The sequence below is a fragment of the Homo sapiens genome, chromosome 14 (genome assembly GCF_000001405.40).
Source record: "Homo sapiens chromosome 14, GRCh38.p14 Primary Assembly".
Classification (NCBI taxonomy): Eukaryota; Metazoa; Chordata; class Mammalia; order Primates; family Hominidae; genus Homo; species Homo sapiens.
Window position 1 is genome coordinate 60,774,888 of NC_000014.9, and position 13,889 is coordinate 60,788,776.

Sequence of the window (13,889 nt, forward strand, 5' to 3'; positions counted from 1 at the left end):
GACTTGTTATGTTTTGTCATTGTTTAGGAGTCAAAACTTGTCATGTTTTGTCATTGATTAGGAGTCATTGATTAGGTGGTTGGTTGAGCTGAGGGATGAGATCAGGGCCGTAATCAGATTTGGGAGGCACATTTACAGCTGTTTAGACTGGATATGATCATTTGTAGGGGGAGAAGAATGCCCACGACATAACTCTGGAACACTTCAACTTTTAGGTGGTTTACAGAGGAGAAGCAGCCAGAAAAAGAAACAGAGAAAGAGAGACAGGTAATAGGAAAACTAGTTAAGTGTGAGGTCACAGAAGTCTAGAGAATAAAGTGTTCCCAGATGGAGGAAGTGGTCAGTTAATGCTGCTAAGAGGTGGTATTGGATGAGGACAGAAAATTCTTCTCTGTTAATTAACTATTGGCTTTGGCAAGATTGAGGATATTGGTAAAATTCATGAGAATTGTTTCAGTGGAAAGTCAGGAATAAAAGACTAATCAGAATGAGTTAAAGAGAATGGGACATAGCAGTATAGACAACTCTTGTTTCAGGAATTTTGCTGTGAATGGGAATGGGGAAATTGGGTAGTAGCTGCAAAGGAATGTAGAGTCAATTTAAAAAAATGGTTGTTGATATTAAGGTATGCTTGCATTCCAATAAGAATGATTCAGAAGAGGAAGAAACTCATAATGCAGGAGAAGGGGGAGATAATTATAAAAGTAAAATACTTGAGTAGGGATTAGGAAGTGGGATATAGAGCATAACTGGAGGGGAGGTATTGACTTGTAGATAACAACAGAGATATTTTTTTCATTTTAACCTGAAGGAATGCAGTTAATATGGTTATAGAAACAGGTAGATTGATGGCATTGGTGTTTAGAAATGAGATTATTTTTGTCTCTATAGTATGAGGCTAGGTCACTAGCTATGATTGAGGTGAGAATGGGAAATGTGAGAAGTCTGAGGAGAGAGAAGAAAGTATGAAATGGTTCATTCAGGGAATGGGAAAATGACTTTAATTAAAAATTGTAGAAGGAATGTCTGGCAGTGTTGAGTCTTCATCTGAGATCTGTGGTGTTAATTTTAGTGTGAATAATTTTAGTGTGAACTTCAGTAAGGTTATGAGATGTTTTTCTTCAGCAAAATTTAGCTGCTCAGATACAGTCATGGACTGGTAGATAGATGGCTTCAACCATAGATGGATCAGGTGGAACAACAGTGGAGAGGAGCAAGTGAGTTAAATGCATTTGCAAAGGATTGGTTTTAATTCTAGATGCTGTAATGTATGCTTGTGTAAGGATGAGGTTAGGACCTTGAGAGGGGTGATAAATAGGGAAAAGTAGTAGTGTCAGTGGATGGGAGCTCCTTGTGAGGTCAAAGGATAGAGTAGTGGTATTTAATGCAAGTCATCTGAAAGGAGAGGGAAAGGTGTTCAGAGAGTGAGATGCTAGAAACAGACAACCCAGCAGAGAGATATATATATATTGATAATGACAAGATTGCAGGCTGAAGGTATGAGGGTGAGTGACTTAAGTGGGATGGGGCAAGAGATCATTGGAGTGAGGCAGTCCAAGGAATTAAATGTCTAGGATAATGCCTGGCTTATTTATGAGGATGTTCAAGTTGCCAAAAATGATGATAGGTATAGTGGTGAACAGGGAGACCAGACCATATAAGCCAGATGCTGAAAACTGTCCTGGGGGGGGAGGAGCAGATACTTTTAGGGGAGGCCATAACTGAGGATAAAGATGGTGGGATTCCAGAACTAGTATCACTGATTGAAGTGTCTGCAATATGAGTATGTATTACGTATTGAGAATACTTTGGATCATATTCACTATAAGTGGTTCCAGAGGGTGATGGGGAGGACATGAGAATACAGTGATTGTGATCATGGCAGGAAAAAGGTGTACAACATTTAAATTTAAATGGACTTGTATAGTGTTGTGGTTTTTTTTGTTGTTGTTTGTTTGTTTTGGTTTTTGTTTTTTTGAGACAGAGTCTCACTCTCTTTGCCTAGGCTGGAGTGCAGTGGCATGATCATTGCCTGATGCAGCCTTGACTTCCCGGGCTCAGGTGTTTCTCCTACCCCAGCCTCCTGAGTAGCTGGGATTACAGGTGCACACCACCACTCCCGGCTAATTTTTTTGTATTTTTAGTAGAGACAAGGTTTCGCCATGTTGCCCAGGTTGGTATGGAACTCCTGGGCTCAAGCAATCCACCTGCCTCAGCCTCCTAAAGTCCTGGGATTACAGGCGTGAGCCACCATGCCCAGCCTTTGAATAGTGTTTTAGGAAGTTAATTTGAGTAGTTGGGAGAAGGGGAAATATGCTTAAATAGCTTTAGGAAACTAGCTCTCTAGGTAAGGTATGTGTTTCTCTTTGTATAATCCCATTATTGACACTCTACTACATATAAGATTTTGTTTTTGGATGGGTGCAGTGGCTCATGCCTGTAATCTCAGCATTTTGGGAGGCTGAGTTGGGAGGATCGCTTAAGGCCAGGAATCTGAGACCAGCTTGGACAACACAGCAAGACCTCGTCTTTACTTGTACCCCACCTCTCCCCCCCCAAAATTTTTGTTTTTCAGTCTATTTTAAAATTTTGATGTAGCATAAGCAGTCCAAATAAAGGTATTTGATTTAATCTCATGTATTTTCTGCATACTTTTAAATTTACAATTGTTTTCTTTACCTTCATATTGGATGTTTTTTTAATTGCTTGTATGGCTAGCCTGTTGAGGTCCTCTTTTTGCTTAGTCCCCCCATTCTCATTCCATAATACATATTGGGAAAAGATTATAATAAATATTGGGAAAAGGTTATCTCTACACTGATACCTTTCATGTTTACATCTTTGTTTACCATAGAGTCTGCTCTTGTGCCATCAAAGTATCTAACTGAATATAAAACATAGCATTAGGAGTATCTATCTTCTATAGATGCTATCTATAGAAGCATCTTCTAGTGGAAAGATTAGGATGAGAACAAAGTAGACCATAACAAGTATAATAGCCATACAAATAGCTAGATGGTTATGCTTAGTTGGCTGAATTTAATAGGCTGGGTTCTGGAGCAAACCAGAGCAGTCTGAGAATTCATTTCTATTGGCAACAACTGAAGGAATGCCAGGCAGACTTTGAAATCTGTGCTGGGTCTAACTTGGTGATAGTGGGTTTGTTTTGATTCTTTTAAGATTCTGAGTCACTATTCAGCCCAGTTACTACTTGATGCTTGCTCTGCTAGTCATCTTCAGTGATTCAGTTTTGGCTGCAAACCTATGAAGAATTATTGGTCAGAGTGAAATGACATTGAAATCTGGGGACCTAAAGTGCTATGACCTACTCTTGTTAGAATGGGGAGGGGTGTATGAGACTCAGATAATTATAATAAATAGAGTTCTGGCCCAGATTTAACTCACAGTGTGTCTCTGTTATCAGAGTCCTTTCTCTGGTTCCTAGTTTTGTAATTGGAATCAACATACATGGTAGTTGGCAGAATTCTCAACTTGGCTCCTTGACCAGTTTGGTTAAGTGCTTTCCTAGTGGGGGAAGATCAAGTGGAAGCCTCTAAAACTGTACCTTCCCTCACCTTGGAAGGGACAGCATTTCTTCTAGTTTGGGATTAACACATATTCTGGGTCCACATGTTTGCTTTTTCTGCCCATAAGTCCACAGCCAGCACCACTATCTGAGGACTTACAGAGTGTTTGATCCACTAATACGGGATCTTGAGTAATATTGTCTCTTACCAAGAGTCGCACTTTACAGGAAAGATGTGTAGCAGTGGGCCAAAGTTCATGAATCCACTGGTCTTAACTCATACTGCTCCACCTATAATCCTCTGGATTGATAGAACAGTTGTAATGGGCTCATAAAGGTACAACTGAGATGCCAGATTGGAGGTGATCCTCTACAAGGATGGGTTTCATCCCTCCAGAATGCTTGGCCATCATATGGATATTCATTATATTAAGTATCCTCAACAGGTAATATGTACACGGGTTCAACAACCAAGGGATGGAATAGGAGTGGTCTCATTTACTATCATACCCAATCCTTACTTGAGGAATTTATGCTTTCCATTCATATAGCTTTAGACCCTGTGGGCTTAGAGGTTCTTGTCTCCAGAAGTAGAAATGCCCTACTAGGGAACAGACACAATGAGAGTTCCATTAAATTTTAAGCCATGCCTGCTGTCTGGTCACTTTGGGCTCCTCTTGCCAAAATCACTAGGGAAGAAAAGGAGTCACCATCCTGGTAAGGGTAATTGACTCTGATCATTATCACGGTATGGACAGAGAAGAATATGTCTGGCATTCAGGGGATCCGCTGATATGTCTCATGGTGTTCCTAAGCCCATTATTTTAATAAATGTACAAATACAGTAGCCATTGCCTAAAAAGGGCATGGTAACCAGAGTTTCAAACCTCTTAGATAAAAGGATCTGGATCGCTCTACTGGCAAGCTGCTTACACCAGCATAAGTGCTAGCAGAGGATGAGGGGACTCTAAAGAGGGATGATGATCTGTTATGGCCAGGAAATCAACTACAGCATTGGGACTATAGTTTGTCTTCTTCTCTTGAAAGTTTCCCGTGGAAACAAAATAAGTAGAATCCTTAAGAAGCTGTTTCCGGCTGGGCGCGGTGGCCCACACCTGTAATCCCACCATTTTGGGAGGCCGAGCAGGAGGATCATGAGGTCAGGAGATCAAGACCATCCTGACCAACATGGTGAGACCCCGTCTCCACTAAAATACAAAAAATTAGCTGGGTGTGGTGGTGCACGCCTGTAATCCCAGCTACTCAGGAGGCTGAGGCAGGGGAATCGCTTGAACCCGGGAGGTGGAGATTGCAGTGAGCCGAGATCGCACCACTGCACTCCAGCCTGGCAACAAAGTGAGACTCCGTCTCAAAGAAAAAAAAAGAAAAAAAGAAAAAAAAAAGAAGCTGTTTCCTGCTAGAGTGAACTTACTCTAAGAAGCAAGTGGATGGTCTTTACTTTTGAAACTCTTGGCGGGGAAGTGCTGTTGGAGCCGCTGTGGTTGCTGTCCGTGTAGTGAAAGCGCGTGCCTTTGTTTGTGTCCCTGGCCATGTGTCCCTGGCCATGGCGCTGCAGCTCTCCCGGGAGCAGGGAATCACCCTGCGTGGGAGTGCCGAAATCGTGGACGAGTTCTTCTCATTCGGCATCAACAGCATTTTATATCAGCGTGGCATTTATCCATCTGAAATCTTTACTCGAGTGCAGAAATACGGACTCACCTTGCTTGTAACTACTGATCTTGAGCTCATAAAATACCTAAATAATGTGGTGGAACAACTAAAAGATTGGTTATACAAGTGTTCAGTTCAGAAACTGGTTGTAGTTATCTCAAATATTGAAAGTGGTGAGGTCCTGGAAAGATGACAGTTTGATATTGAGTGTGATAAGACTGCAAAAGATGACAGTGCACCCAGAGAAAAGTCTCAGAAAGCTATTCAGGATGAAATCCGTTCAGTCATCAGACAGATCACAGCTACAGTGACATTTCTGCCACTGTTGGAAGTTTCTTGTTCATTTGATCTGCTGATTTACACAGACAAAGATTTGGTTGTACCTGAAAAATGGGAAGAGTCGGGACCACAGTTTATTACCAATTCTGAGGAAGTCTGCCTTTGTTCATTTACTACTACAATCCACAAAGTAAATAGCATGGTGGCCTACAAAATTCCTGTCAATGACTGAAGATGACATGAGGAAATAATGTAATTGTAATTTTGAAATGTGGTTTTCCTGAAATCAAGTCATCTATAGTTGATATGTTTTATTTCATTGGTTAATTTATACATGGAGAAAACCAAAATGATACTTACTGAACTGTGTGTAATTGTTCCTTTTGTTTTTTTGGTACCTATTTGACTCACCATGGAGTTAACATCATGAATTTATTGTGCATTATTCAAAAGGAACCAGGAGGTTTTTTTTTTGTCAACATTGTGATGTATATTCCTTTGAAGATAGTAACTGTAGATGGAAAAACTTGTGCTATAAAGCTAAGTGCTTTCCTAAATCAGATGTTTTGGTCAAGTAGCTTGACTCAGTATAGGTAGGGAGATATTTAATTATAAAATACAGCAAAGGAAGTCTAAATATTCAGAATCTTTGTTAAAGTCCTGAAAGTAACTAATAATCTATAAACAATGAAATATTGCTGTGTAGCTCCTTTTGACCTTCATTTCATGCATAATTTTCCCTATCGAATCAGTTTCCAATTATTTGACTTTAATTTATGTAACTTGAACCTGTGAAGGGATGGATATTTGTACTGCTTGATGTTCTGTGATACAGAACTCTTAAAAATTTTTTTTTGTGTTTTATAAAATCAAGTTTTAAGTGAGGAAATAAGTTTGTTAAAAACAAAAAAAGAAGCAAGTGGATTTGTGTGGTGTAATTTGCCTGCTCATATAATCCACTCATTTTTCTATAGCATCATTTATTGATTTGTAGAACCTCTTTATATAGTATGAATATTATCTTTTATGTATGATGAAAAAATTGTTTTCTAGTTTGTGGCAAGTCTTTTAATAGTATTGTGTTTCCCCTCCCACTTATGAAAAGTTTTAAATTTAAAATTGTTGTTTTTAGAGATGATGGGGTCTTGCTGATCTCAAACTCCTGACCTCAAGTGCTTCTTCAGCCTTGGCCCCCACAAAGTGCTGGGACTACAGATGTGAGCCACCACACCTGGCCTTAAATTTTGATAAAATGAAATTTATCAATCTCCTTTACATGGTTTAAATTTTTTTAGTTACTTTTAGGAAATTTCTGCCCTGATCTCGTAATTATATTCTCCTATAATTTGATAAAAGTTTAAAGTTTTCTCTTTGATCTTTAGTCATTTGTTCATAGGGGATTTCTTTTTGTGTATAGGGTGAAAGATAGGGATCTAGTTTTTTTCTCTCCTTATCTAGAAGCATCTCTCCTTATCTAGAAAGCATTTATTTAGTGTCTCAAGTATTTATTTAGTAGTCATTTATTTCCACATTGATTTGTAATACTACCTCTTTCCTATGCCGTATTTCCATGTATGCATGGATTTTGTTTGTGTGTGTGTGTGTGTGTGATTTTTTTTTTTTTTTTAACAGAAGTATACTTGTTCCTTACAGTGTGCTGTTATGTTGGTGGTACATGAATCCATAGACATCTTCCTGGAATGTCAATTTTACCTAAAGAATATGAAAAAGATTGAGTAATTGAATAACTGGTAACTATTTGAGGACATTTTTCAATGAAATAAGGCTGTTTGAATTATGGAGTCAAATAGAACTTTCATGAAGTTTTAGCTTTTTAAGCTAAAACGTGATACAATTTGAAGACATGTTGAGCTTATGGGGGACCATTTGAGGCCATTTCCCCAATTTTCCAGGAAGTTCATTCTTTATCATTTAAGAATACTGTGGTAGAAAAGGGTGAGAAGGACTACCTTACATGGACTGTTTTTATTTTTTGTCAAAACGTTGTGTTTATTGTTCCATGTATACACTGTGTGTATTGATACCTTTATTTTTTTTGTGATCTCTGCCTGGAATGTCATCCTTCTTTCATATTTCAAGGCCAGCACATTTTTCATGGCCCAGCTCAATTCAACCTATTTCTTGAATCCTTTAACAGTTGTAATCCTTGTTACTGGCTCCTTTGAAATCTGGTCCTTACTGGGTATTCCTTGTATTAAGTAATATTTCTAATGGCTAATGTTTATTGAGAGTGTACTATGTGTCTGGTATATTTCTAAGCATTTTACCTGTATTAACTAATGTAAATCTCATCAGCTCTGAAAGCTAGGTTTTTACCCCTATGTAGGTATTCTTTTTATTTCTCACAAGGAAGGAAACAGAGGCACAGAGAGGTTTAATAATTTAAATAAGGAAAAGCAGGCAAACTGGCTTCAGAGTCTGTGCCCTTAACCAGTATGCTCTGCTCCCTCTCAGTTGCTCAATAAATAATTGCTCAGGAATGAATTTACCACTTATATTAACACTTAGCAGACATAACTTTGTTCTGTTGTTTTATGGGTGTGTTCTTTCCTAACTATATAATACATCCCTGAAGGCAGGGATAAAATCTTATACTTCTTTATAGTATGGCTTTATATTTCATACTTCATTAGACGGATTTACTACTTATAACAAATCCCTAGTAGATGTTCGTAGGTGATGATAATGAATTTGGTATGACCTTTAGATTTGCCATAGAGTAACATAAACCTAATCATTCATTGTCAAGTGGGTCTAAGCTTTCTAATAAGACCTGTTGGTTTGAATACTCCAGAACCACAGATAAATAACACTATGAGATCTCCTGGTTCTGAAGCTGTGGGGTTTGGCTAGACCTGTAACATTCTATTCAGTTGGTAGAGAGATCCCCAGAGATTAGGTGACAGATTTCTGGCCTGCACTTAAACTATGACCTGGACAGGTCATTTTGTCTTGCTATCTGTAAAAGGAGAAAATCATATTTAGTGCAGCTTTTATTTTTAAATCATGGTCTTTATGTAGACCATGCTTTTTAGAAGCAAAGTTATGTACCTTCAAAGTAGCATATTCTCTTACTTTGTTATAATAATACATACCATTATGTTGGTACAAATTTGGAAGAATGTATTATTACCAGCAAAGCTGTGCTCTAGCCCAGGCTGGAGTGCAGTGGTGTGATCTTGGCTCACTGCAAGCTCTGCCTCCCAGGTTCACGCCATTCTCCTGCCTCAGGCTCCCGAGTAGCTGGGACTACAGGCACCTGCCACCACGCCCAGCTAATTTTTTGTATTTTCAGTAGAGACAGGGTTTCACCGTGTTAGCCAGGACGGTCTCGATCTCCTGACCTCGTGATCTGCCTTCCTTGGCCTCGACCTCCCAAAGTGCTGGGATTACAGGCGTGAGCCACCGCGCCCGGCCTTTAGTTTTACTTTTAAATAAAGAGCAAAATATTTACGTATTTTTTGAGATAGGGTCTTACTCTGTCACCCAGGGTGTAATGCAGTGGTGCGATCACAGCTAACTGTATCTCCAACTTCCTGGGCTCAAGCGATCCTTGCACTTCAGCCTCCCAAGTAGCTGGGACTACAGGCCACTATGCCCAGCTAATTTACTTTTATTTTTTATTTTATTTATTTAATTTGAGATGGAGTCTTGCTCTGTCGCCCAAGCTGGAGTGCAGTGACACAATCTCGGCTCACTGCAACCTCCGCCTCCGCCTCCTGGGTTCAAGCCGTTCTCCTGCCTCAGCCTCCCTAGTAGCTGGGATTACAGATACGTGCCACCATGCCTGGCTAATTTTTTTTTTTTTTTTTTTTTTTTAGTAGAGGCGAGGTTTTGCCATGTTGGCCAGGCTGGTCTCAAACTCCTGACCTCAGGTGATCCACCCGCCTCTGCCTCCCAAAGTCCTGGGATTACAGGCATGAGCCACTGCGCCCAGCCACCCAGCTAACTAAAAACATTTTTTTTTTTTTTAAATAGAGATGAGGGTCTTGCTGTGTTGCTCAGGCTGGTCTTGAACCCCTGGACTTAAATGATCCTCCTGCTGCGGCCTTCCAAAGTGTTGGGATTATAGATGTGAGCCACTACACAAGGCTGAAAATATTTTTTCCCCCGCAAGACAGAGTCTTGCCCTGTCACCCAGGCTGGAGTGCAGTGGTGTGATCTCAGCTCACTGCAACCTCCGCCTCCCGGGTTCAAGCAGGTCTCCTGCCCCAGCCTTCTGGGATTACAGTTGCCCGCCACTGTGCCTGGCTAATTTTTAGTAGAGATGGGGTTTCTACATGTTGGCCAGGCTAGTCTCGAACTCCTGACTTTGTGATCCGCCCACCTCGGCTTCCCAAAGTGCTGGGATTACAGGCATGAGCCACCGTGCCAGGCAACGAAAATACTCTTTTTACAGTTAGTTTCTGGAAAGTGTAAGAATTCTTTGGTCAAGTGGAAAGGACTTGATAAATGTGTAGCTATAGCTAACACTTTTTTTTTTTTGAGAACGAGTCTCAACTCTGTTGCCTAGGCTGCAGTGCAGTGGTGTGATCTCAGCTCACTGCAACCTCTGGCTCCCAGGTTCAAGCAATTCTTGTGTCTCAGCCTCCTGAGTAGCTGGGACTACAGGTGTGTACCACCATGCCCAGCTAATTTTTGTATTTTTAGTAGAGATGGGATTTCACTATGTTGGACAGGCTGGTCTCAAACCCCTGACCTCAGGAGGCCTCAGCCTCCCAAAATGCTGGGATTATAGGCATGAGCCACCACGCCCAGCCAGCTAGCACTCAGTGAACATTTACTATGTATCAGGAATTGATTTAAGTTCTTTTACCTATAATAACTCATTTAATTAAGTTGATTGTTGGGTGGCCATTTGATTTTTTAAAAGGTTTCCATTTCCCCCTCTTTATTAGTGTAATTCAAAAATAGTTGTCAATACTAATCAGAAAAATAAAAAATTACAAATATAAAATATAACTTAGGTTTTGAAACAATCTGGGGAACGGGTCTCAAACTTGTCTGTTATTTTATTAATTGATTTTCCCTAGTGTTTATTAGGGATTTAAATGATTAATTGAAAATGTTAGCAAATGTTGAGCAAACATTGATATACTTTGCTTTCAAGAAAACAAAAATGAGAACATTGTATTTTTAGAACTATTTCACCTTGAGTTAAGCATTGCTTGTCATAAACCAAATACAGTTCTTGCCTTCATAGCCCCACATTCTCTGTATGGATCTTCTGGAATTTTCTGTTGTTGAGGTAGGAGATGATAGTTTATTCTCACACATCTGCTTTATATAGCTTATATAATTTAGTCTATAATTATTTGCTAGTATCAACTGTTTTTAATTGATTCACAAGAATGTATATTCTTGTACTCATCAAACATTTGAGGGTTCAGCTTTGCATTTGACAAGGCACCTGGCATAGTACTGAGAGGATAGCCAACTGTTTAGCTTAAATATTTGAGGACCTAATGAATAGAAATAGCATCTTGACTAGTTGTTATATTTTATTCTATTTAAAAGGTCATAATAATGGATGCTTGATAAATATTGACCTAGAAGAAATAGTTTAAAAAATGAATTATATATATTTTTTCATGGCCTCTTAAAAATAGTAGAAAAGTACAAACTGTTGTGGATATGAAGAGTGAAATAATGAAAATAAACCCAGTGTTAAACTCTAAGAAATAGAAACAAAATATAATTAAGAAAAATTGAATAAAATAAATAATAGAAAAGTAGAAATTAGTAAATTGGAAAACACACAAAAAATTGTGAAATTCAAGTTTCTTTATAGTGATTCTTTAAAAGGGCCTTTATACAACTTAGACAAACATGTAGCATTTCTAATCAAGAGAAAGAGGTAGAAAAACAAAATAAGAAGTGAAGAGAGAGCTAGAACAATAGTAACAGTGGAAAATTTAAAAAATATTTTAGTACTAATAAATGAGAAAATCTTAATGGCTTGGGTAGTTTGGGGAACACTTAAATTATGATTGCATTCCTTTGAGTTCATTTGTTCATTATAAGCAATCTTTTATTGGTCACATGTAACAGTGGTTCTCAGACTTTTTGGTGTTAGTAACTTTTATAATTTTAAAAGTTATTGATGACCCTCAAGACCTCTTATTTATGAAAGTTATATCTGTTAACATTTATCATATTAGGAATTAAAATTTGGAAACTTTGAAATGTTCATTTATTCATCAAAAATTATAAACCTATTACATGTTACCACAATGTATTTTTATGAAACATAACTATATTTTCCAAAACAAAAAAATTTTGTGAGATGAGTAGCATTGTTTTACATTTTTGCAAATCTTTTAAAAATGCTTGGCTTAAGAGAAGAAAACTAGATTCTCACATCTGCTTCTGTGTTGAGTCTGTTGTATGTTTTGGTTGAAATAAATGAAGACTATCTGGCATCTATAGATACCTATTTGGAAAAGGGATAAGCATTTTAATAATAGCCTTTTCAGGTAATTGCTGACATTGTTTTTGGACATACTTAGTTACATGTATTTTTAACTCCTTTGAATCATGGTGGAAGTAAAGACATACCTTATTTAGTGCAGTGGCATTAATGGAAATCAGAGTATTAGTTGAATTTGCCCTTCCTTTCCCCGAAGTAGAATTATAGTAAAGGTCTGTATGCAAATGCTAGCTTGGTTTAGTGGGACATCGTTCTTTCAAGTCTCCAAAGTCCTGAATGCTCCTGTGGCCATGGTGCTTTCCCTTATTACTCGTATGCAGACATACCTCAGACATATTGCTGGTTTGGTTTCTGACCACCACAGTAAAGCAAATATCATAATACAACAAATAGCACAATAAAGTGACTAGCACAATAAAGTGTGTCACACAAACTTTTTGATTTCTTAGTGTGTATGAAAGTTATGTTTACACTATACTGTAGTATATTAAGTGTACAATATCAATATGACTAAAAAACAGTGTGCATACCTTAATTAAAATATACTTTACTGCTAAAAATTGCTAACAATCATCTGAGCCTTCGAAAGTGACTATAATCTTTGTGCTAGTAGAAGGTCTTGCCCAGATGTTGATGGCTCCTGACTGATCAGGATGGTGATTGCTGAAGGTTGGGGTGGCCTTGGTGATTTCTTAAAATGAGACAACAATGAAGTTCGTTGCATTTATTGACTCTTCCTTTCATGAAAGATTTCCCTGGAGCATGTGATGCTGTTTGATAACATTTACTTACTGGAAAATTCCTCGCAAAATTGGAATCAATTCTCAAACCTTGCCACAGCTTTATCAACTAACTGTATATGTTATTTCTGAATCTCTTGTCATTTCAACAGTGTTCACAGCATCTTCACCAGGAGTAGATTCCATATCAAGAATCATCCCTAAGAAGCCCAAACTCCTCATTTGTTCAAGTTTGATCATGAGATTGCAGCAATTCAGTCACATCTTCAGGCTCCACTTCTAATTCTAGTTCTCTCGCTGTTTCTGCCATATCTGCAGTTATTTTCTCCACTGAAGTCAGACCCTGAAAGTCATCTGTGAGGATTGGAATCAACTTCTTCCAAATGCCTTTTAATGTTAATATTTTTTATCTTTTCACATGAATCACACATGTTCTTAATGGCATCTAGAATGGTGAATCCTTTCAAAAAGGTTTTGAATTTGCTTTGCCCAGATCTATCAGAGGAATCATTGTCTGTAGCAGCTACAGCATTATGACATGTATTACTTAAATAACAAGACTTCAATGTCAGAATTACTCCTTGACCCATGGGCTTTTGAATGGATGTTGTGTTAGCAGGCATGAAAACAACATTCATGTCCTTGCACATATCCATCAGAGGTCTTAGGTGACCAGATTCATTGTCAATGGGCAGTAACATTTTGGAAGGAATCTTTTTTTCCGAGCAATAGGTCTCAACAGTGGGTTCAAATATTAAGCAAACCATGCTGTAAATAGATGCGCCATCATTCAGGCTTTATTCTTCCATTTATAGAGCACAGGCAGTATAGATTTAGCATAATATTTAAGGGCTTTATGATTTTTCAAAATGACAAATGAACATTGGTTTCAATTTAGTCATCAGCTGCACTATCTCCTGAAAAGACACCCTTGCCTTTGAAGCTTTGAAACCAGGCATTGGCTTCTCCTCTGTAGCTATGGAAGTCCTAGACGGCATCTTCCAATAGAAGGATGTTTCATCTGCATTGAAAAGTCTGTTTTTCAGTGTAGCCACCTTCATCATTATCTTAGATAGATATTATGGATAACTTGCTGAAGCCTCCATATCAGCACTTGCTGCTTCACCTTGCACTTTTATGTTATGGAAACAGCATCTTTCCTTGAATTTCATGAACCAACCTCTGCTAGCTTCAGACTTTTCTTCTGCAACTTCCTCACCTT

The 13,889-nt window shown here is 38.4% G+C and overlaps 1 protein-coding gene and 1 pseudogene across 3 annotated transcripts in view, besides 2 other annotated features; both read left to right on the forward strand.

Annotated features, from left to right (window-relative positions):
* Positions 1-13,889, forward strand: part of MNAT1 (MNAT1 component of CDK activating kinase) — a 235,205-nt gene that overhangs the window by 40,127 nt on the left and 181,189 nt on the right. The gene's annotated exons all lie outside the window — the stretch shown is intronic.
* Positions 4,605-5,105: an enhancer, noted in NCBI's record as "H3K4me1 hESC enhancer chr14:61246210-61246710 (GRCh37/hg19 assembly coordinates)". NCBI's record gives its function as "activates a minimal SCP1, AML or CMV promoter by ChIP-STARR-seq in primed H9 embryonic stem cells {active_cell/tissue: H9 hESC(primed)}" and the evidence as "EXISTENCE:reporter gene assay evidence [ECO:0000049][PMID:30033119]".
* Positions 4,978-6,380, forward strand: MAD2L1P1 (mitotic arrest deficient 2 like 1 pseudogene 1; annotated as a pseudogene).
* Positions 5,106-5,606: an enhancer, noted in NCBI's record as "H3K4me1 hESC enhancer chr14:61246711-61247211 (GRCh37/hg19 assembly coordinates)". NCBI's record gives its function as "activates a minimal SCP1, AML or CMV promoter by ChIP-STARR-seq in primed H9 embryonic stem cells {active_cell/tissue: H9 hESC(primed)}" and the evidence as "EXISTENCE:reporter gene assay evidence [ECO:0000049][PMID:30033119]".